This window comes from Homo sapiens, chromosome 8 (genome assembly GCF_000001405.40).
Source record: "Homo sapiens chromosome 8, GRCh38.p14 Primary Assembly".
Lineage (NCBI taxonomy): Eukaryota > Metazoa > Chordata > Mammalia > Primates > Hominidae > Homo > Homo sapiens.
In genome coordinates, this window is record NC_000008.11 from 6,044,793 (window position 1) to 6,069,313 (window position 24,521).

The 24,521-nt window shown below is 44.7% G+C and overlaps 1 long non-coding RNA gene across 3 annotated transcripts; it reads right to left on the minus strand.

Moving 5' to 3' along the window:
- Positions 1-13,266: 13,266 nt before the first annotated feature.
- LOC105377797 (uncharacterized) lies at positions 13,267-21,328 on the minus strand. 3 transcript variants are annotated; one of them, XR_941380.3, is made up of 4 exons: positions 21,206-21,328; positions 14,952-15,025; positions 14,210-14,345; positions 13,267-13,412 (listed from the first exon to the last, which is right to left on the minus strand). It is a non-coding gene; the product is annotated as an uncharacterized LOC105377797 (long non-coding RNA). The 3 variants fall into 3 exon arrangements; XR_941385.2 differs by having other exon boundaries at positions 13,374-13,412; positions 14,210-14,286; positions 21,233-21,328; XR_941384.2 differs by having other exon boundaries at positions 13,374-13,412; positions 14,210-14,286.
- Between the last annotated feature and the right edge of the window lie 3,193 nt (positions 21,329-24,521).

Here is a 24,521-nt window from a genome sequence, read left to right on the forward strand (position 1 = left end):
GGTTCTCCAAGTCCCCACCCTAGTAGCTAGATACAGAGTGTCCATTGGTGCATTCACAAACCCTGAGCTAGACACAGGATGCTGATTGGTGTGTTTACAAACCTTGAGCTAGATACTGAGTGCCGATTGGTCTATTTACAATCCCTTAGCTAGAAATAAAGGTTCTCCAAGTCCCCACCAGACTTAGGAGCCCAGCTGGCTTCACCCAGTGGATCCCACACGGAGGCTGCAGGTGGAGCTGCCTGCCAGTCCTGCCCCATGCGCCCGCACTCCTCAGCCCTTGGGCGGTTGATGTGACTGGGCGCCCTGGAGCAGGTGGTGGCACTCTCAGGGGAGGCTGGGGCCGCACAGGAGCCCACAGAGGCTGGGGGAGGCTCAGGCATGGCGGGCTGCAGGTCCCGAGCCCTGCCCCGCGTGAAGGCAGCTAAGGCCCGGGGAGGAATTGAGCACAGCAGCTGCTGGCCCAGGTGCTAAGTCCCTCACCGCCTGGGGCCGGTGGGGCCAGCCGGCTGCTCCAAGTGCTGGGTCCGCGGAGCCCACGCCCACCCGGAACTCGCACGGGCCCGCAAGCACCGGGTGCAACCCCTGTTCCCGCCCGCGCCTCTCCCTCCACACCTCCCCACAAGCTGAGGGGGCCAGCTCTGGCCTTGGCCAGCCCAGAAAGGGGCTCCCACAGTGCAGCGGCGGGCTGAAGGGCTCCCCAAGTGCCGCCAAAGTGGGAGCCGAGGCAGAGGAAGCGCCTAGAGCGAGCGAGGGCTGTGAGGGCTGCCAGCACGCTGTCACGTCTCACTTCCACTTATGGAAAAGTTGCTGATCCCCAGTTACATGTTGAGCACTCTGCTGGGGAAGGAGAATCAAAACATGATCCCCACACTCTAGACATGGGAACCTTTGAAGGGACGCTGACATGTAGCCAAATACAGGCACATCATATGGTTGCTGTGATGCTCTTTGTCATAGTCTGAGCAGAGAAAAAGAAGCAGAGAGAAAAGAGAGAAAGAACAAGCTGTAACTGTTTGTTGATAAACAGAATAATCTCTGGAAGGAGACATAACTGATCATTTCCACTGAAAAGACACACATAGTAATATTGAGTGGGCGTAATATCATTTTTCATCTTTTTATGTTGGGAACATAAAACTGGATTAAACTCAGAATCAAGTGTCATAGGACAAAAAGCAATGTTCACATCAAGTTCTTATCTGTATATTGCAACATCTTTGAAATTCTAAAGAAAAATATACTGAGAAAAGTATAAGCAGGAAACATCACACTCTAAGACAAATAAAGTATGCATAATTGTGATTAATTTCAGTTACACTAAAGAGAAAGCACTCAGAGGTACTTAGGCATCGCCATTTCTTTATCATCTGTTTCAAATAAAAGTTTGGCTTTATGTTTATATATAAATGCAAATTATCCATATTTAATGATAGATCTTTACTCTATATGGACATATTATAGAACATCAAGAGTGTTCTAAATATTGCCTATTCATTATGTTTCCTTATACACAATCACCTAACAGCAGCATTGGGAATGACAAGTATGAAGCCTGGAGGGAGAAAAAAAAAAAACATCCGCCCATACTCAGCCACCTGGTGCTCCAGACTGGGTTTCCAGAAAGCCCACTCTGAGCCTATTGATGTGCAGTGTGTTTATTAAGGAGGAAGAGAAGAAAGGAGGCAGAAGTGGGCACAGCAGAAGTTGAACTGGGAGGCAGACCCCAAAAAGCCTTGTTAACTACTGGGAGCTCAGCCCTTGGATGGGCACTGCAGAGCCATCCAGAGTAGGGCCAGAAGCTGGGGGCTCACCCTCCTGCATCCATCAGCCAGGGGCCATCTGAGAGGGCAGAACTGGGGTCAGGTGCCTCTCTGCAGCTGCAGTGACCTCTGAAGGGGCTGAGAGCAGGAGACTGTGCACGGCTGCCCCCAAAACTGCGGCAAGGAGGCCTTTACTGAAGGGATTATTGCAGCGTGCAACACACCTGCCACACCTGGCAATGGACCAACATGCAAACCTGACACCTTTAAAGGACTGAAATCACTGACTGGTGTAATGATGGTGCTTTCATATCCATGTCCTTGTTCATTCAACCAGCATTTATTAAGTATCGACTAAGTGCTGGGTACTGTGTTAGGCACAGTTGTCCATGAGGGAGACTGATTCGGTGGCCATCTTGTCCATACCCTCCTACTGTTTTAGTTCTGGCCACTATCCCCGAAAACTTCAGTGGCTTAAACAACAAATAGTTATTTCTTAAGATTCAGAAGACTGGAAAGTCCTAGATCAGGGTGCTGGCAGATCTGACAGCCACCTTCCCACTGTATCCTTGTGTGGCAGAGAGGGAGGCATGATCTCCTAGCTCCTCTTATAAGGGCACTAATCCCACTCATGAGAGCTGCACCCTCCTGACCTACTCATCTCCCAAAGGCCCCACCTTTTACTACCTCTCCATTGAGGGTTAGAATTTCAACAGATGAAATTTGGGGGGGACGTAAACATACAGTCCATAATACCCGCCCACCTGACCCATACCCAAAGAAATGCCAGTGCTTTCTGCTTAAAATACTCCAGTAGCATGGTTCATATTAAAGCTTAATCAAGATCAAAATATCCAGCTATAAAATTAAAAACTAAATAAGAGTCAGAAGAGGAAATAACAGGGAAAAAGGAATGAAAAAAGTTACTCCTTCACAGGAAAAGATGGTAGAGTGAGGTAAATTGAATGAACAAGACCTTTGCCTTCTGTCATATCTGGGTCCAAATTTCAACTTGTCTATATATAAGCAATGTCACCTAAACTTCTCTTGAGTTTTTCGTTGTGAAATGAATGCCTGCATTGTGTGAGTTTTGGCAGGATTACATAAGATCTGTGCAGAGGAGGGAGACTGGGTCCTGAGCAGTCATGGGGCCACAGTGACCACAGCATCTTCCTCGGATTCATCACCAGCTTCTCCAGCACCATTACCAAAGCACCACTGCAATAGGCCAGGCAGCAGATGCCCTCCTGCAGGTGACATGCAGATGGTAAGTCCGTGTGAGTTACAGCATGTGTTTAGTGACACTGCTTATCGAGGTCCCACAACTATGTTTCTGCTCCATAAAAGATCCTTCTCACTTCCAACATAACCTGAAATTTACTATTATCAAAAAAATGACTGGCTGGGTTTGGGGGCTCACGCATCTAATCCCAGCACTTTGGGAGGCCAAGGTGGGTGGATTACCTGAGGTCAGGAGTTGGAGATCAGCCTGACCAACATGGTGAAACCCCGTCTCTAGTAAAAATACAAAAATTAGCTGGACATGGTGGCAGGCACCTCTAATGCCAGCTACTTGGGAGGCTGAGGCAGGAGAATGGCTTGAACCCGGGAGGCAGAGGTTGCAGTGAGCCAAGATCACGCCATTGCACTCGAGCCTGGGTGACGAGAGCGCAACTCCGTCTAAAAAAAAAAAAAAAAACGACTTGAGGCAGAAGCCACGTCCACCACTGAATCATGAGCAGAAAACCAAGGCAGCAGGGTGAAGCACAGCACCCCTTGCAGAGCGACCCACTGCAGAAACACAGGTCAAACATGGACGGAATTGAGGCCTCCTCGATAAGAAGCATCTAGCACTGTGGCCTTACAGAGTGTATTCAAAGGAGGTGAACCCTCCTTTGAAATCGACTGAGAAAAACACTTGCTTAAAATCCCAACATTGCGATATAGCAACTGCTTGGAAGTTTCTGCCAACTCTATTAAGTGCCTTGAAAACAAGAAGCAGAAGCAGCACAGAGCAGCACAGAAAACAGAAATAAGCCCAGCAGGTTTCAAGGAGGAAGGTAGTATCCTTCCCCATAGATGCCCTTAGTCAACGGCATTGATGTGGAGAGGCTGAATGCAGAGGGAGATACCAGCTTCCCGGCGCGTGGTCATCAGGCTGCTGTGTGCGTGTGGGAGAATGTGTATGTGATTGTTACTCTAAATCCACTTCCCACAGCACAGTTTCAGTCATTTGCTTATATTCCTTATCTCTATGAATATCCAAATTCTTTAAAACCCTCCAGAGTTTTCCAGGGTGAAGTCTAAGCCAAGGACTACAGTTGTGTGTCTTTGTGCTGAGAAGCCAGATAAGAAGAAGCTTGTACCCACTACAGGGATGCTGCCTTCTTTTCGACACCGTTAAAATATTATGTCCCATTTGTCTTCCCAGTCACCACATGGGGAGGCCTCATCATCCCTTCCCACAAGAAGACAAGGTGATGGGGAGGTGGAGCAGCAGCTAAAGGTCCCCAGCTGTGCCGAGCCCGGGTGGCCTCCACCGCTGCCTGGCTCAAAGCCTATTCCCTCCTCATTTTCCCCACCTCTTTGGCTGTGATTTCCTGCTAAGAAAACGTATTCCATGAAAAGTTCTGGTTCATTCAGTGAACCTCTTCACACGGCTCCTGAGAAGCGCGACTGATCATCTCTCCCACGCCAGCAGACTTCCTGTTCCCTGCCTCTCACTGCTGATAGGATGCGCTAAGAATGAGACCCCATGAACTATTTTTTTTTTTTTTTTTTGAGAGGGAGTCTCACTCTGTCTCCCAGGCTGGAGTGAAGTGACATGATCTCAGCTTACTGCAACTTCTGCCTCCTGGGTTCAAGCGATTCTCCTGCCTCAGCTTCCCCAGTAGCTGGGATTATAGGTACCCACCATCATGCCTGGCTAATTTTTGTATTTTTAGTAGAGATAGGGTTTCACTATGTTGGCCAGGCTGGTCTTGAACTCCTGACCTGGAGTGATCTGCCTGCCTCAGCCTTCCAAAGTGCTGGGATTACAGGCATGAGCTACTGCGCCCAGCCCCCATGAACTCTCCACGCCAAAATCCTGGGCCTCAGACAGAATCAGGGGCTTTACAGGACAAAGCCTAGTTATCCATCTGATAAATGATGTTGCAGCCACAAACAACACACGATTTGCTTTTCTGTGCGCAAACCAAAATCTTCGTTTAAACACTGTGTATTAGTTTGTCCTCATCCTGCTATGAAGAAATAGCGAGACTGGGTAATTTACAAAGAAAAGAGGGCTGGGTGCAGTGGCTCATGCCTATAATCCCAGCAGTTTGAGAGGCCGAGGCAGGCAGATCACTTGAGGCCAGGAGTTCGAGACCAGCCTGGCCAACATGGTGAAACTCCAGTCTCTACTAAAAGTACAAAAAGTTAGCGGGGTGTGGCGGTAGGTGTCTGTAATCCCAGCTGCATGGGAGGCTGAGGCAGGAGAATCGCTTGAACCTGGGAGGCAGAGGTTGCAGTAAGCCAAGATGCACCATTGTACTCTGGGCAACAATAGCGAAACTCTGTCTCAAAAAAAAAAGGAGGTTGAATTGACTCACAGTTCTGCATGCATGGCTGGGGAGACCTTGGGAAACTTACACAGGGCAGCAAGAGAGATAATGGGTGCCAAGCGAAGCGGGAGGCCCGGAAAACCATCAGATCTTGTGAGGACTCACTCACTATCACGAGAACAGCATGGAGGAAACCACCCTCATGATTCAATTATCTCTACCTGGTCCTGCTTTTGACACTTGGGGATTATTACAATTCAAGGTGAGATGTGGGTGGGGACACAAAGCCAAATCACATGACACAGATTGCTCCCTGCGCTGATAGAAAGGAAATAGTGATTTCTACAAAAGCCTTAGAGAAACACCTAGGAGAATTCAGCTGTTAAAAGCACAAATTGGGACTCAAAAGAATTTAACAGTTTTACACCCCACCACAACCAAAGAGGTAAAGGTTAATGATGCGAAGAAATTAGGTGTGAGTAGGACATTGTGGTGTCATGGTGTGAAGCCTGAACCACTCTTTAAAAGGGACACAACTCCAGAGCCAGATTTTTTTCAAGTATTGCTCTGCCGTGGAGGAACAGAACGTTAACATAAAATTTCCATTACAAAAGTCCAGGTTTCACTGTGGTTCAGATCCTAGACTTTGAAGACACACAGCTCATTAGGCATTTCAATCATGCTCATCAGTTCCTTGCGTTGAACTCTTCTCAGCACATCAATTTTTTCTCTAATTATATTGATTTTAGCAAATTGCAGTGTCCGTCTGAGCTGATTTTCAAATATGACAGCAAAAGCTTTCAATGAAAGAGAAATACAAATGCATTGTGTAGCACTGAGCTGCATTATCCCCTCAAACTTCACAGAAGAAACACAGGCATTTGAAGGCAAGTAGAAACTGCCTGATGAAATGATGGCATTCTGAAAAATAAACAGCCACTTCAATTCCAGGCAATCATGGTTATATACCTCTTAGGTGATCATTATTTTTCTTGCCTGATAACTAAACTAGGAGCAAATCAAAGATTGAATCCATATTTACAATTTCAACTTTTTTTTCTTTTTTCTCTTTTCTTTTTTTTATTTTGAGATGGAGTCTTGCTCTGTCACCCAGGCTGGAGTGCAGTGGCGCAATCTCAGCTCACTGCAACCTCCACCTCCCTGGTTCAAGCGATTCTCCTCCCTCAGCCTCCCAAGTAGCTGGGATTACATGCATGTACCACCACTCCCAGCTTTTTGTATTTTTAGTAGAGATGGGGTTTCACCAGGTTGGCCAGGCTGGTCTCGAACTCCGGACCTCAAATGATCCACCCAGCTCGGCCTCCCAAAGTGCTGGGATTACAGGTGACCCACGGCGCGCAGCCTACAGTTTCAACTTTATGCCTCAGAGAGTGTTCAGGTGACAAATCTAACAGTAAGTGACATTTTAAAATCAAACTATTGAGGGTTTTCATTGGCCACAGAGACGAGCACCCTATGCTCTCTTCTGAAAATCCAGCTTCCCTTCCCAAAAGCAGAGCACATTTCCGTCTGTGCTGTGCTGCCTCTCCTGAAGACCACATGTGCTCCCAGCACTTTGCTTTAGATGAACTGGAACTCTCTCTCCAGCCAAGACCTCGCTCTTGAGCAGCAGTTCCTGCAGTCAGCATCCCACAGCCACCCCCATGTCATTTGTTCATGCACTCATGTATTCATTTATTTTAAAATATTTAACAAATATTGACTATCAAATATTTGCCTGGCACTGTGCTGGGAGCTTGATGACAAAGTGAACAGAATAAGCATAGTCCCCTGACCTGGGGCACCATGTTTCCTCCCTGGCCCATTTCCATCCATGATACCCGCATTCTCTGGGTCACACCGAGGAGACATTGGGCCTGCACGTTGGCCTCCTCCCTTCCCCATCTGCTGCCTCCACCGTGGGAGCCCGGTGGCCTTTCACGAGGTGAACGCAGCAGCTTCCTTGCAACTTTCCCATTTCTCATCTTCTTCCACTGAACTAATGTCAGACTGAGTGTTGTAAAATGAGGAAATCGTCACAGGTAAGCTGGGGAGGTACATGACCTGGCTCTCCCATTGACTGCCACCTGTACACGATTCCAGGAACCTCTTTGACTCTCCTCCTCCGTGTTGGGTGAAAGTGGGCCATTTTATACCTGGTGGGAGGGGACACGAACACTCCAACAGTCCCCTGAATAAGCCTTGTTTGTCCGGCTCAAGACAGCCGAGGCAGGCCCTCCACTGCAGCGGATGGTCACGCCTGCAGCTAGCAGTCACCTTGCTCCGGCGTCTGCATCTGCCCACAGTGAAGGCAGCGTGACACGGGAGCCAGGCACAACGCCTCGCAGTCCCCGAAATCCACTCTCTACGTCCATCATGGGTCTGTTTGTCCGGCCCCCAGGTATCATCGCAGCTGGGCTGGCTTCTGAGACGACTTGCGGAGTCATCCGTGACCCCATGAGTGACAGGCCTCTGAGACATGCAGCAGCGCGTGGCCTCCTCTCACCGGTTCCACAAAATGAAATCTGGCTTTCTTGGGGAGTAGGGAAGTGCAGCAACTTTCCAATCCCATCCGAGGAGTTAAAATCAAACCTCAAAAGAAAAGTTTCTGCTCGGGTGAGGTGGCTCACACCTGTAGTCCCAGCACTTCCAGAGGCCGAGGCGGGTGGATTGCTTGAGATCAGGAGTTCAAGACTAGCCTGACCAATATGTCGAAACCCCATCTCTACTAAAAATACAAAAATTAGCTGGGTGTGGTGACACGCACCTGTAATCCCAGCTACCTGGGAGGCTGAGGCAGGAGAATCACTTGAAGCCGGGAGGCGGAGGTTGCAGTGAGCCGAGACCACACCATTGCACTCCTGCCTGGGTGACAGAGTCTCAAAAAAAAAAAAAGAAAAGTTTCTGAGTAACCTTACAAGATCATTCTCCCTGTCTCATGAGGAGTGCATCCTATATCATGCCCAATTCTGATTCTTCATCCCATAAGGCTCCTGAGGGTTTCAGCAAGTGCCTGAGTCTGTAATGGTCACACCAGGATCAGCACCCATTAATCTTGGTTCTATGCTGACGTAAAAAGCTGAGGATGTTATTCCTGAGAACTAACCAAGCACTTCAGGATCAGACATGAAAACTCTCCATTTATTTTCTCACACCTCACTTCTGCTTGGACTGGGTATGGAGATACTTCCTCCCAGAGGACAGTGGGCTGTGTATCAGTCAGTACAGGCTAAGTTCGTTCAGGAACAAACAATCCCAAACTCTCAGGGGGCTCAGACAACAAGTCTTGTGTTTTCCTCTGACCACATCCCCATCTAGGGTAGGAATAGGGGCTGAAAGGGCTTTTCTTTCCTGATCCTTGTTTCTAGACCTAGGCTAACGCAGTCCCTGCTTTCTGGAAAATCACGTTTCTGAGTCAGAGGAAAGAGAATAGGAGGAGGTTTACTAACAAGCTTCCTCTAAAAGCAAAGTCACATCTGATTGGTTGAACCCAGTCCCATGCCCACCCCCTACTTCAAAGGTAGGCGAGGAGGGAATTCTACAAAGAGCCAGTGAGGATCGTAAGGTACGATAGTCATTACCGTAACCACCACGGACTTCCGCTGAGCGCCCGTCTCCGCGAAAGTACTGACCCTGGACCCCCAGTTGCCTGGGTCCACCTGTCGAACCAAACACAAGCCTCTTTTAGGTCTCTTTCACTCATCTGAGCAGGACTTGGCTACCCAGAAACGCCACCTAACACCCGCAGCTTCGCCCCATCATCTGTGACTACCTACTGTGCCCGTGAGACTGTCCAGTCTATAGACTGCCGCTCAGAGAAGGTAGGCTAGTAACTAAGATCCCAGACCCTGGAAGGAGAGCCCCTGAGTTTGAATCCTACTTTACCATTTACCAGCTTGCAGACTTAACCTGCAGGCCTCAGCCTTCTCCACTAGGAAGTAGTGTTTGTAACAATACCTGCCTGATTGTGCTGCTATTGCACTGTCTTAAGGGATAAATAAATAAATAGGCCTATACTGAGACCAGCCGGGCTCACAGTAAGCACTATATTACTATAATAATAATATATATTATTAAATTATTATCATTGTTACCAGGTTAGTCCATAATGTTGTTTATTGGCTTTTGTTGAATTAAGCCCCAGAAGCTTGTTCTTTGTAACCCATACTTAAGCAGTGGACAGAAAGGTAATCACCTACTGTCTAGTTCTCCTGAAAATTAGATACAAACCTAGGATAAAACACAAATTTTTTAGCATCTACTATATGCCAACCATGTGGCTTCATTAGAAAGCTCTCTGGAGAAGCTTTATCCTACAGAAATGTGCATCTATTTCCATGGTGCATTTAAAAGCTTCTAACCTTCAATTACATAAAGTAGGATAAATTCAGACAACGTAACGGTCCTATTCGATTCCATTCAAACCTAATGTGCAGAGGCAGATCTAAAGTACAGGGGGCAGAATTTCAGGATAAACCGAGAATTGCATAACAAAATATTCCTTCATTCTAAAGACTATGTAGGCCAACCAAATGTGTACTTTTGTGCAAGAATTTGTTTGGATTATGGCCAATAATTCTACAGTGATGAATTTCTAAATAAATTTAAGATACCAATCTCATCTCGTGTCTTCCTAATAATTACGAAGCCCATCAATATCTTCTACTCTGCAGAGCTTCACTCCAAACTCCAGGAGAAACATCAGTCAAAGATACCGGTATACCCGACCTTTTTAAGGGGGGAAGACAGTGCGAATGTGAGAGGTGTTTCTTCCTCAGAGTAAGAAGCCATCAGAAGTTATGCTTCCACACAGCAGAGCTGTTTAATCGTTCACACTTGGAAAAGACACCGATACATAGGGTGGGCAGGATGGCTGCAGAAACCCCACAGAGCAGGAATTGGGAGCCACAGTCTGAGCTGAAGAAAGGGCAGAAGGCCTGTCTTACTGTTGCTTGCACAATGATATTCGCCCAATATTGAGAAAGTGTCCATTGTTCATATTAAAAATGGGGAAGGGGGTTGATACAGACCGCACCTCCCACCCCAAGCATGCTCCATCTGCCACTGGAAGGATGGGAGCTTCATAAAGCTCTAGAGGACGAGGCAGAGCCTGGGAAACAGACTGCCAGGCCCACCCCACTCAGCAACTTTGATCATGTTTCAAACTTAGAGAAAATTAGCAAAAATATAAGTGTAATATTGTATTGTGTCCCATTCACTTTATCAGTGTCTCTCTCTATTTTTCCCACACCATTCATGAGTAAGTTGGAGACGTCAAGACACTCTATCCCTGAAGATTTCCATGTATTTTCTCAGAACAGGGACGCTGTCTTATATAACCATGGCACAACCATCAAAGTCAGGAAACTGTATACTAATATAAAACTATGACAGGGATGCCCATAGGTCCCTGGTAGAGCTTGAGTCTGTTCAGGGACCATGTCCTGCATAAATGCATATCTGTGTTTGAGGCTGTGCTCCACACACCTAGACCACTGCGAACCAAAGGAGCACTCCAAGGTGGAACACAGATCAAAATCATGTCTCATTTTCCCTTATTCTTATTAATTTGACACAGAAATCCTGTAGCCCACTATCCTCCCACCATTTTCTAAGGTGGCCAGATATTTCCACCATAGAAATTGAGGCTTTTTTTTTTAGGATTAGTCTATAGATAACCCTTTGTGTGGGCTCTCACATGCAGTTTTTTAGCCTCTTACATTTTCTAGACTATGGGTCCTGTCCCTGCATCCCACACTCACGTGCACACCACACATGCACACTCACTCACTCACATGCCTTGTTTCCTTGTGTTCTTTTGTTGACAAGTTTTCTTCTCCCTCTCCTAAAACAATTTCCAAATTTCAGGAAGGGACGTGTCTCCTGATGGTCCCACTTCAGGAGCCAGCATCCCAGCGAACTGATACCAGCTGATAGAGGAGGAAAAAGCCGAGAAGCCAGTTCAGAAAGGCCTGACATCTTCTCCCTCCCGCAGGAGCCACAGACACTCACCACTAGGTTCCCCCTCCCTTCTCAGGGACCCTGCACTTAGGTGCTCACTGAATCCCATTCACCTCAAGGCCCTGAAGAAAACTGCCCAGCAACTCTCCCGTCTCCTCTTGACATAATTTTTTCACTCTCCCAGATTATTCCCATTGGTTTATAATAGTGTTGGGGTTTTCTCCCGTCTTGCAAGGTAAACAAAACAAAACTCATAACCTTTATCCCCTCCAGCTACAACCTCCTCTCTTTTTACTTCACAATAAAACTCCTGAAAAAGAATCATCTGCTCCCTCTGTTTTAAATCTTTCCTGGTCATTCTTAAACCCCTTTCCATCATCATTTCTCTCCCACCACCTCCCTGAGTCTCTCACCATGGTGCTCAATGTCCCATCGCTGCCTAACCTCAGCAGTGTCTTGTCAGTTTTCTCCTGTGTGGCCCCTCAGTAGCTTGGGTGCAGCTGTTCCTCCTTGAAACATCTCTCCTTCTTTCCTCAGCTTAAGGACACGACCCTGCCCTGCTTCTCCTCCAGAGAGCCACCTCCATGTCCAAGCTGGCTTCTCCTCACCACCCTTTTTTTGTTTTGTTTTGTGTTGTTTTTGCTAGCTTGCTTTCCGACGCAGACCACTACCTCTGCCCTGTTCTCTCTAGACCCCATCCCTTCTCACTAATGATTCCCGATGTCTCCCCTGAACTCAAAGCTGGCTGTTCTTGTTGTTGTTTTGAGATAGAATCTCACTCCGTCACCCAGGCTGGAGTGCAGTGACGCAGTCTCAGCTGACCACAACCTCCATCTCCTGGGCTCAAGTGATTCTCCTGCCTCAGCCTCTGCAGTAGCTGAGATTACAGGCATCCGCGACCACACCTGGCTAACTTTTGTATTTTTAGTAGAGATGGGGATTTACCATGTTGGCCAGGGTGGCCTCGAACTCCTGACTTCAGCTGACCTGCCCACCTCAGCCTCTCAAAAGTGCTGGAGTTGCAGGCACAAGCCACCATGCCCAGCTGAACTCACACCTCGTCATCCAACAAACTGCATGGCCTCTCTTGTGGGATATATGACTGGCATCTCAAACTTAACCTGCCCAAAGCTGAAAAGCTATTCCTTTATTGTCCCTGCCAAGCATGCTTCCCTCATAGTCTTTCCTATGCTGTTAATGACAATTGCATTCACTAGAATTGCTCAAACAAAAACAAACAAAATAAAATCCAGAGCCATCTTCAACTTTCTTCATTCTCTCCCACCCAATGCCCATCCTTAGGAAATCCTGTTGGCTCTAGCCTCAAAGCATCTCCAGAATCTGCAGACCACCCCCATCACCATCCCCCATCACCACCCCCATCACCATGCCCTTGCACCACCACACACACAGACACCTGCGCCAGCCCCGCCCTGCTCTGCCTGGGCCCCGACACTCTGTCCCTGGCTCAGCAGGCACCATGATGGCGTCCAAATGTCAGCTTGTCACTCCTCTGCTCAGAATCCTCCCAGGACTTCCACTCTCACCCAGAATTAAAGCCAAAACCCAATCAAAACCCTACCAGGTCCTTCCTAATCTGCAGCCACAACCTGACCTCCTCCTGGCCTGTCTCATCTCCTCTCCATCAGGCTGGCGCCGGGAAGGGGGGAGGGCTCTCCCCAGCCGCCGTGCTCCCATTCTGTGCTCCCTGTGCAGTGAGACCCCATCCAGCCTCCCTCAGACTAAGAGCACTGTGACAAGTCACCACCATTTGTCACTCAAAGCAAAGTGAAGGATATGACTGCAGGGGCTGGGCTTGCGTGTGAGTGTGTATTAACTGAAACTTCCTCCTCAATATCTTTCACACTTTTCTTCTGCCTCCTAAACTTCCAGGAAATAAAAATTAACTATAGGGAATATATTAACCGCTTTTGTTGGTCAAGTCCAGAAAACCTGTCACAGAAAACGTAAGAAAGATAATTAAACACAATTGCATATTCAAAGTTTTATGAGTTAAAATGAATCAGAGGTCAGGTGCAGTGTCTTATGTCTGTAGTCCCAGCACTTTGAGAGGCCAAGGTAGGAGGATCACTTGAGCCTAGGAGTTGGATATCAGCCTGGACAACATGATGAAACTTCATCTCTACAAAAAAAATACAAAAAAATTAGCTAGGCATGATGGCATGCGTTTGTAGTCCCAGTTACTCAGGAGGCTGAGGTGGGAGGATTGCTTGAGTCCTGGAGATGGAGGCTGGAGTGACTGTGATCGTGCCTCTGTACTCTAGCTTGAGTGACAGAGTGAGGCCCTGTCTCAAAAACTACAAATAATAAAAATAAAATGAGTCAGAGAGAACACAAGGCTGGGAAAAGAATATTTCTTGATTTCGTTATGGAGATAGCCTTCCCCGTGTCGCAGAACACCTCTTTCGGGACACTAACACACTTGGCTACTGTCACATTTATTTGATTGCCTTCTAAAGGGCTAACATGTATTATTACCAGGATGTAGGGCCATCCTCACTAATAATATGTTCCCAGTCAAAATAATATGCACACACTGCCAGCACCAGCAAAATTAAGTAGAATCCACCCCATTGGGAGGGATGTTATTGCACTTGGGTTGGCTTCAGAGAGCTGTTTCTAACGTTACATGAGTTAAATATATGTTTATGAATAAGTCATGAACTTGACTTGGAATCCAGAAGCATCCTCACAACCCCTGCGAACAAAGGGAAATCAAATTGTTTGTCCTCCTGTCCACAGCAGCTTCACAGAGACAGCCTGAGCTTTTAATCTTCAGTGGACTCCCTTGACCCCAATTTCGCCTACCAATTATAAAATCACATCATGCATCTCCTTGAAAAGGATACCCCCTTTCAAAGAGGCCAATCTGTGCCAGGAAGGGAAGTTGACCAGAGACTGGGAGAGGCTCATAATTACCTCTTGCAAAACGCTGCAGGAATCCTCTCATCATGCCTGAAGAGGGAAGGTGTAGCGACTGCTCAAAGCCCACACACCTGTGAGCATCGACCATCAGTTAGCAAGGCCTTCTCATATGATTTGAAAATGAGCATTGCTGTAGGAGCACTAAATATGATTAGTTTATTGTGTTTCCTATGATTAAAAGACACTGAGGTAAAAGTATTAATCACCCAAGAAGGTATGCAGTCAAATAGGGGTAAAGGCCGGGCGCGGTGGCTCACGCCCGTAATCCCAGCACTTTGGGAGGCCGAGGCTGGCAGATCACTTGAGGTCAGGAGTTTGAGACTAGCCTGGCCAACATGGCGAAACCCTGTATCTACTAAAAATATAAAAATCAGCTTGGTGGGGTGGTGCACACTAGTAATCCCAGCTACTCGGGCAACTGAGGCAGGAGAATCGCTTGAACCCAGGAGGTAAAGGTTGCAGTGAGCCGAGATCATGCCACCACACTCCAACCTGGGTGACAGAGTGAGACCTTGTCTTGAAAAAAAAAAAAAAACCACCACCAAATAGGGGATAAAGCCAAATAGAAAATACTGGGAAGGAAATAAGCTTTGCTAAGTCCCTGATGCTGAGGCTCTTAATTAATTGCATTCTTTAAAGAAATAAGAAAATAATAAAAATGAGAAAGATGCCAGGAAATCCTCAAAGCGATTCTTGTAGCAATCGGTGCCATATATTAAAACGGTCCTTTTCTTACCTGTTACTCTGTCAGTGAAAGATGTCTGTGATTGGGCAACCAATTGACTCAATATCACAGCATGCTTCTTATACCTAGGGGAGGATTACTTGATCAATCACTCTTAATATATTCCATGTTGATTTTGGGAAAAAAAAATCATTGATATGATTTACTCCACAAGTAGACACTGCTGTTCCTCATATATAAACCCTATTAAAGTTGTAACTGTCTTTCAAAAATATATATAAAACCCATATTGATCATTATAACTGTAGCAGGAGTCAAAATCCCCGAAGTATGTAAGGGTCAGGAAGTTGAAGCAGCTGTAAGAATCAGGCTGAGTGAAAGCAAAGGAATTTGCAGTGACAATGGCAGACAGAAGAGGGCATTGCTTATCTAAAGGAATTCAAATACAAATTAAAAAAAAAAAAAACAGAAAAAAAAGCTACTGTATATGAAAGACAATTATACCTCTATGGATGGATTCAGCCTACCAGCAAACAAATTGTAACTTCTCAGTCAGACTCACTTAAAAGGTAAATTTTTACCCAAAAACCATAGTTTTTGTGTGAGAACAAATATTTCAGCATATGTGGAAAGACAATATGTCCCATTTCTGGATGATGAATAATATGGTAATTGTAAGGATATGTAATATAACATTTATTGCTTAGTTAAAAAAAAGTTCTGCACATGTATCCCAGAACTTAAAGTAAAATTTTAAAAAAGCTTAATATTAGTATTTCAAAAAACAGGAAAAAATCTTCACTAATAAAATTTTACACAATGTCTGAATTATGTGTCTACTACCATTTTATTTGCAAAAGGAAGCTGTTAAGGGTTTTTTTTTTTTTGTCCAAAACAGTGGAATTACTAAGAAAACATAATATTAATAGAAACAAACTAATACATTAAAAAATCTTATTCAAATGAAATAACTTGGCAGGTTGAGCAAGCCGAACCCATGACATTAAAAAGCACTATTTTATTCTTGACTCCCACTATCTCGTTGATCTTTATTCACATGCAGTAATTTTGCCCCTGCCCTGACGAAAACTTCTGCAGGTCCAGCAGCTTTTCTGCTCAGTCAGTCTAGGTCGCTGGAGAGGTCCTTGCTCATGTTGAGTCTAAATGCAGCTCATTCATTGGAATGAACTCATTCCTAAACTCATTCTCATTCCTTAGAATGTTGGGTCCAAGATTTTAATGTTACCCCAAGGGAAAGGGGCCCTAATCTTCCTTCTCATCCTCTCTCTGTCCATTCCACCTGCTGGCCAACAGCACTGCTCCCATCAAGGCTGAAGCTGGGGAGGAGGGAGAGCATCTAACTGAAGGTTTCACACCCTCTGAGCCTGGGGATAGCAGAGCTAATATCCTGGGTGAGTCTGGAAGTTTATAGCTGCCTGTATTAGTCCATTTTCACACTGTTATAAACAACTGCCTGAGACCGGGTAATTAATAAAGGAAAGAGGTTTAATTGACTCACAGTTCCCCATGGCTGGGGAGACCTCAGGAAACTCACAATCATGATGGAAGATGAACGGGAGGCAAGACACCTTCTTCACAAGGTGGCAGGAAGGAGAATGAACACAGGCAGAACAACCACTTATAAAACCATCGGATCTCATGAGAATTCACTCACTAACCCGAGAACAGCATGGGGGAAACCACCCCCCTGATTCAATTGCCTCCACCTGGTCTCTCCCTTGGCACGTGGGGATTATGGGAATTACAATTCAAGATGAGATTTTCGGTGGAGACACAGCCAAAAATATCACTGCCTCTTTCTCATAGTGGTTTTCATAAGCTCTTTGGAGCCTCAGATCATCACTCGACTGGGCACCCAGGGCACCTCATGGTCACCTTTGCCCCCTTCCAAATGAGAGCTCTGTCCCCTCAGGTGGTCCTGGAAAGAGCACTCAGGATAACCCAGTGTAGCCTACATTTGGGGTACAGCAAACATTCATATGCTAGGGCAGTGAGTGCTGATCCCCACACAAAAGGAGGGACCTCATCTCTGCTTTGCCCAGAGCTGAGAAGGGCATTAGCCAGTCTCTTCCACCAGAGTCCGTCTAGAAAAAAGCACATTTCAGAGCTCTCCAAGGGACCTCTGGAAGCCCTCACACCAGGCTCAGGAGGGAGGACAGCTCACTCAGCCCTTCCCCAAGTAAAAAACCTGGTCTCACGGTGCAGTACATTCCTTCCAAATAAGCCCCTCCCTAGATTCCTCTCCCCAAATTCTCTTGACAGGCAGACCCATATATGTCTGACAACCTGGAAATTACCAGCCTCATCCTAAAACTTTCTGCACAAACCGCCCTTTAATGTGCATGTAATTAAAAGTGAGTATAAATATGGCTGCAGAGCTCCTCTGAGCTGCTACTCTGGGCACACTGCCTGTGACATAGCCCTGCTCTGCAAAGAGCAGGCCCTCTGCTGTGCACGGCCACTTCAACACAAGTTACTAACACCACTGGCTTGCCCTTGAATTCTTTTCCTGGATGAAGCCAAGAACCCTCCCGGGCTAATCTCAAGTTTTGGACACTGGAGACACAGAAAGAGAAAGGGTAAGAAGAGGGTAAAGGATGAAAAACTACCTATTAGGTGCAATGTACACTACTCAGGTGATAGGTGCATTTAAATCATAGACTTCACCACTGTACAGTTCATCTATGTAACCAAAACAGCTTGTACCCCTAAGTCCATTGAAATAAAAGACAATTTTAAAATAGTAAAATTAAAAATTGAAAACATTGTACCACTGTGACAGACACTGTGACAGGGAGACACAAATAGCAATCTGTGTCTCCCTAAGCCAAGTAGAACTTTGTTTTCACAAAGTGTAGCCTTTCTCAAAATTAAAGGTTATAGAAGGTCTCAGGTTTAAGGCACTTCTCATATTTCATAAAGAATAATAATAAGATAATCACTTATTGATCTTCACTTTTCTTTAAGCAATGGAGGTCTTGCTCTGTTGCCCAGGTTGGACTCAAATTCCTGGGCTCAAGTGATCCTTCCACTTCAGGCTTCCGAATTGCTGGGACTACAGGCAGTGCCACCACGTCTGGCTTAATCATCACTTATTGACCATCTACAACAATCTTCATGACAATGATACAAGTCATTTATGGTGTCCATTTGTTTTAAGAGAGACTGAGGTTGGCCAAGTTAAGAGAAAGTCATATGACCAATATGTGAATGCAAGTTCCTGATCTTCTACAATGTCTCAATGTCTCTTGACCACAAATAAAAAATTAGAGAAGTTTAAAAAAACAAAATATAGACAAAATTACCAAATTACACACTTTTCTGTTAAAAAAAAAAAAAAGGAAAACATATACTATGAGAATGTGAGGTTAATTTTAGTTACACTTTATAGCATAGCACCACTGGTACATGTTTCCCGTGATACTGCCATGTTCTGTTTATTTTTATTTTAATGTCTCTCATTTTGGCTTGCAGTCAAAATCACTTTCCTTAGCCAACGATTAGTTCACCTTTGCATTTTGGGCCAGTGCTAATGATAAATCCACATAAATCTTGCAAGAAATTGCATATTTCTATATATCAGATTTTCATATGAATTGTTAAGCTTGGCCAAGGTCAATGCAACCCTCTGCAGGACTAAACTTTAGACAGGCTTCTTCCCAATTCCAGACCCCTGACTTCCCTTTCCTTAGAATGTTTACTTTAGAAAACTCATCATTGTAAGTTCTTTCTCTGCCCCTTTGAGACGTAAATTATTTCCCAGCCTCTTGCCAGTTGTGCAACCCAAGACCGTCTTTCTCAAGGATCTGGGAGCTATCTCTTTGAAATTTAGTCATTCAAAAGGATAGGTTTCCTGTTTCCCCATCTATCTGTGTATGTATGCATCCCTTTTTACATCTGTTTGTGCACATATGTATCTCTGTGTGTACACATGTGTCTGTGTGTGCATGTGTATCTGTGTATCTCTGTACATATATGTCAGTGTATTCATGTATGCATCTGTATGAGTGTCTGTATCTGTGTGTGCACAAATGCATGTGTACATATCTCTGTGTATGTATCTCTGAGTGCCTACGTGGCAGGGTAGGAGGCTAACTTTAATAAATGCCAATTAACAAACACAGACAATTAAGCATATCGGCTACCCTCCCCTCCAAAGTCCTCCAGTGCTTCCTGCTAGCTCACCCCAGTGCTGACAAACTCTCCCCCTTGTTTTAAGAGTTTATTTCTATGTCTCTCCCCTATTTTAATAGTCTCTTTCCCCAATTGCAATAAGCTTGAATATAGTCTTCTTTGCTGTTCATTGCAATTTTTTTTGACAAGCTGAGGGAATCAAGATGCCATGAGATTCCTGTAAATAATTGAAGATGGATGTGCCATACTACTGGAGAAACAATAAAAAAAAAAAAAAAAACCACTGCCCACTGGCTTTGCACACATGTAAGATGCAAGTAGTTAAGCTCATTCACTCAAATATGCTGTCCTTCATTAAGTCATTTTTTATAATAAACAACTTCTAAAGCCATCATTATAAACATCAATGCAATTGGGGAACAGACAAGTTCATTTTAAATCTCCATCTAGTTTATCTTCAAGCCATAATGTATGCCAAATAACTTAAGTCATTTTGTTCATAAATCTACACATCACCAGAGGGGAAAACAACTGGCACAGATACATCAGTAGCAGAGAGGAAGAAAAAAAAAGGAAGTATATGAAGTGTAAGTAGAGAAAAGTATCAATAGAAGACGACAACATGATATCAGAAATCCAGCGGGAAATAATCAAATGAAGGGAAGAGGTAAAGATAAGGGGATATAGTAAAGCGTAAAAAAAAAAACAAATAGATCTCCCTTCCCACATCCCCCCAAAAAAATTACTGTTTTACAGACAAAAAAGAAAATCCCAGAGAAAGAATGCGTTGCTGGGTCTTTTACGGAGATAAATAAGAGAATTCCTTCCCTCCAGGATCTTGTAGTTCAAGAATACATTGCTCTATTACATACAGCAAAACAGTAAAAAGAAAAATAAGGGAGAGAGGAGAAATGACAGTCATTCCTCCCAGATGACCAGGGAATTAGGGGTGGGACCAGAACTCCCAGAAATCAGGGATCCTGATTTACTTTTCAGCATTTCACTCCGATCCCTGCCTGCTTCATGCCAACAGAGCTAATTACCGAGCATCATAATTACATTCTTCCTCACTAAGTTTCCCTGACAATTTCAATTAAATAAGGTGTCGTTCCTCTAAATCAAGTTCTTGCTGATCATAAATAAAGCTCTTGGTGATGATAAATAAAACTGTTAATAATCTAGACTCAAAGCGAGGTGCAGTCTCATCCCCCTGTGAATTCACAATCCCTGGAGGGTCCCTGTGAGTCTCATTGCTCTCCCACAAGAGCGTGCTTCTGTGCAGTTGGGTACTGTGGTTTTCCCACTGCCGAACGCATCCCTGGTGCCTTCTGAATGAGTCTACAACTCTTTGGGTTTAGGTTCCATTGTCGTCATTTTTAAATGCATCCATTACTTGCAGATCGCTGAGTCAATGTATAATGAAAAACTCAATTCTATTTAAGGGCTAAACGATAAAATTCGCCAAAAATATGGGTGGAATGATAAGCGGTACAGAAATGAAGAGAGATTGAAAAGAGTCCTAAGAGGTAAAGAAGATTAAAAGCACGGAAGTTTAGCTTAAAGAGATCTACATAACCCAGGCAGTGCCTTGGGAGAGAATTGCCATAGAATACCTGATTTCTTCCATTTCAATGGTACCATCTGGGACCCAAGGCCCATTCTGACCTTCACTGTCATTATGGGGAAAAGGTGAATTCTGTCATTGCTATAGCAACCTTCCTTTTCAGCCTTTCCTCTCATTTTCCTCAATTCATCTTCTGTGAGTTGCTTATCTCCCCTCGTTATCAAGTGACTAGCAACTCTTCAATTATTTTTTAAACCTGAGTTAAAGTCCCAGCTGTATCATGGAGAGTTTTGTCCACATTAGTAAAATAAAATCACTTCCTGTCATAAACCTCTGGCTCGTGGAGATGGGCTTTATTAAATAGCTCATGTTAATTGTGAGTTGACATCCCCTATTGGGTAATGCACGTGTGACCATGTTGGAAGAGAAGAATTTCAGGTGAAAGGCCCATTTATTTAAACAGATCTGTCCTCCACAGTTCTACCAAATAAGCCCCAATTGTGGAGTTTCTACAGATCCTTCCATTTTGTATCTATCATCTCATGAATTTTAAGGGAAAAAAAAAGAGAGGAAAAAGGTGTCCCACTGAGGAGGGGTGGTTCCATTCTCCCACTGATCAGTTATGTAATCTTTGGAGAATCAGTTCAGGAGGCTGCACTTCAGTTTCCCCTTCCATTCAGTGGGCAGAGCAATGGCTCCCCTAGCTGTGTCTCAGGGATGCTGTGACTGTTTAAAGAGATACCGCGTATCAAAATGGTATACCGATGTAAGCTATTATTACATAATTCAGACGTTTTCTACACCCATCACGATTCATTTCAGAGCACTGTTGGCTGTTCTTCAGTGACAGCCATGTGCTGCTTTCGTGAGTATAATTGGGCGGCGAGCCATGCAGCTTCCTGGATTAGTGAGTTTTTGTTTATGAAGTTTCCGATGTTTAGAATTTTTTCTCCATCTTTGCTAATTGGCTTTAAATGCTAGTAAGGAAGAAGCTGCTACTGCCAGTAAATTAAAATTGCCTGCATTTCATTCCTTTCCAAGCCTTGTTTACCCAAGCCAGAATTCATTTTTTGTTCAACATTTTAAAAACCTTTATTATGTTAGGTGGTAAAGCACAGAGAGAGGCATGCTCAATGCTTGAGCTTTGATTTTTTTGCATTCCATGATGTGTATGTGTGTGTGTGTGTGTGTGTACACATGTGTGGGAGGACTGGGTACCATTTTGGATAGCTTTCAGGCCTCTTGACACGACCATAAAGGGAAAGCTTGGGGCTTGTAAAGAACTTTACCAACATCTTCTGAAATTAAACCAACCATTCTGTTGGTTTTTCTGTTTCTACTGATCAGTTTTCTTCTATTGTTACTGCACTTGTTTACTTCGGCTGCCATAAAACAAAATACTATAGACTGGGTGGCTTAAACAACAGTAATTTATCCTATCTCAGCTTTTATATGTATAGTATATTTTCTCCAAGGTTTTATACCAATTTTAGGCATAACTGGCCTTTTCCATTTATGAGTTTTGGGTTCTGAAAAAAGTTACAACCTCTCTAAGCCTTCATTTCCACCTCTCTACAAATGGAGAAAATATTGCTTCTGTGCAGGTTTTATTGTGAGATCAAGGACATAATGTACAAAGCCTGGCACCAGGTAAGTTCTCAGCAAACATGTCTGTGTGGCTAGATCCAATGTCCTGGGCCAATGCTGGACAGGCTCCTTCCCTACATAGCCCTCCAAAGAGAAACAGAACCTGGGACTCAGAGCCCAGGATTTGCCGTATCCCCCCGAGAGTCACTGACTCACAGTAGGGAGGAGCGAATTTATGCTTTCCAGCCTGGGTCTCAGAGACCGTCCTAGAATCTTAATCCTAGCACCCCTCTTAGTCTTTCAGTTAGATAACCCATCTCAATTTAAAGATCTCTACAGGAAAAGAAAATGACAATTCCCTCTCCTCTCTTTTTCACACCCCACCCAGTGCTACACAAGAGCTTTCAAAACTCAAATCTGTGGGTACGAAAACCCTCCTGTTTATTTTTACTAAAAACAAGAGAATCACACACACACACACATGCACACACACACACTTACACACACACTTGCACACACACACATACACACACACAACATCATGGAATGCAAAAAAGGTTTGATATCATGAGAAGATTAACTGAAAAGCAATTATTCTAATCACCAGCTATGGAAAAAGGCATAAAGAATTAATCAGCAGCTACATTTCAAGCTAGAAACAGAGTGAACTATGGTGGAGCTGTTGGGATCACGGGGTCTGAAGTCAAGGTCCCTGGTCTCAAATTCCAGGCCCACCATTTACCAGTGGCAAGGCATGGGTCCAGCTGCTTAACCCCTCTTCCCCAGTTTCCTCAAAATGTGCTGGAAATAAAATAATATATAAAATGCACTTAGAACATCACCTGGTGAGTGGCAAACACTCAATGAACATTAGCTGCTGCACTTACCTTTATGATCACTATCGCATAAACGCCACAAGATGCAGGTGCAGCGATGACTCATGGTGAACGCAGACAGGTGCGAGCACCACACTACGCTGTGGGACGCCCTGAAGGCGAGGAACAGAATGACACAGCTCCATCTCCACAGGACCTGCCAATTTTTAAGCAACCACTGCACATAATCTGAGCTCACATCATAGCCATCCTAAAAGGCGGATAGTTTCATCCCATTTTTGCTCATTAAATGAGTTATTAACCCAAGACTACAAAGCTAGTAAATGATGACGCAGGGATTCAAGCTCAATCCTTTCACTAGAGCTTAGTGAAAAGGTTGAATGACTAAACCACGGTGAAGAGCTAAAGGGAACTTGGACCCTTGCCTCTTACCCACCCTACATGGCATCATCTTGACTGAGTCTCTTCAGAAGAGACTATGGTAGACCAGGTGGCTCCGTTTCAGAAGAGTCCATTATGACTTTATGGTTTCCAACGGAAAGCACATGCAGTTCAATGTAACCACACTCATGAAAGGTACATTCCCTTCATGCCTGGACCCCCGCACCTACCTTTGTGCCTTACTCCCTCCCTTCCTCTATCCTTTCCTTCCTTCCTTCCCTCCTTCATTCCCTCTGTCATTTATCCCTCCCTTCCTTCTTTCCTTCCCTCTCTCTCATTCTCCTTCCTTTCTTTTCCTCCCTCCCATCCTTCTTTCTTCCTCCCTTCTTTCCCATCCTCCTTCCTTTCTGCTTTCCTTCCTTCCTTCTCCTCTCCTTCCTTCCTTCTCCTCCTCATTCCTTCTTTTTCATCACTCCTTGTTTCTCCTTCTGTGAAATGGGTATAATGATATTTTCCTGCCTCTGTATACCAAGGTTTTTATGTGAACTGAACCAATTCCTTCATAAGATATCTTTGCTTACATGATGAAGCTGGTGAGCTTGTTTGTTTTCTCTGTTTTGCTTTGTTTTTCTTCTTAAACTTCTTAACAGCCCCAGACTCCAACTGTGCAAGATGGTGGGAAAGCCTTCAACAGGAATTACTCTGGAGAAGCTAGCAACCTTAGCAACTGCACATCGTTCAAGATCAGCTGTCCAGAAGGCTCTCTGTAGAACAGAATAGCTAAATACATCCCCTGGCCTGCAGCTTTACCTCATAAAAAAAGATGAAAGGCACAATCATTGCTGCTTTTGCCACCTAATAGATAAAAATAGCATTGTATCTGGATTACAGGGAGAAAGAAAGCATCTCCTGGGCAGGTGCCACCCACAATCCTTATTCCTCCCCAGGCTATTCCATTCTAAAGGAGAAAACTAAACATTTCAAAAACCAAACACGGTCTCTTGAGCACAGAGGCCTCAAACAATGTTCTCACTGAAGATGTGTCACCTGAGAAAAGTTTATTTCCAGGGTTGTGACAATCCCTACTAATAAGGAGCT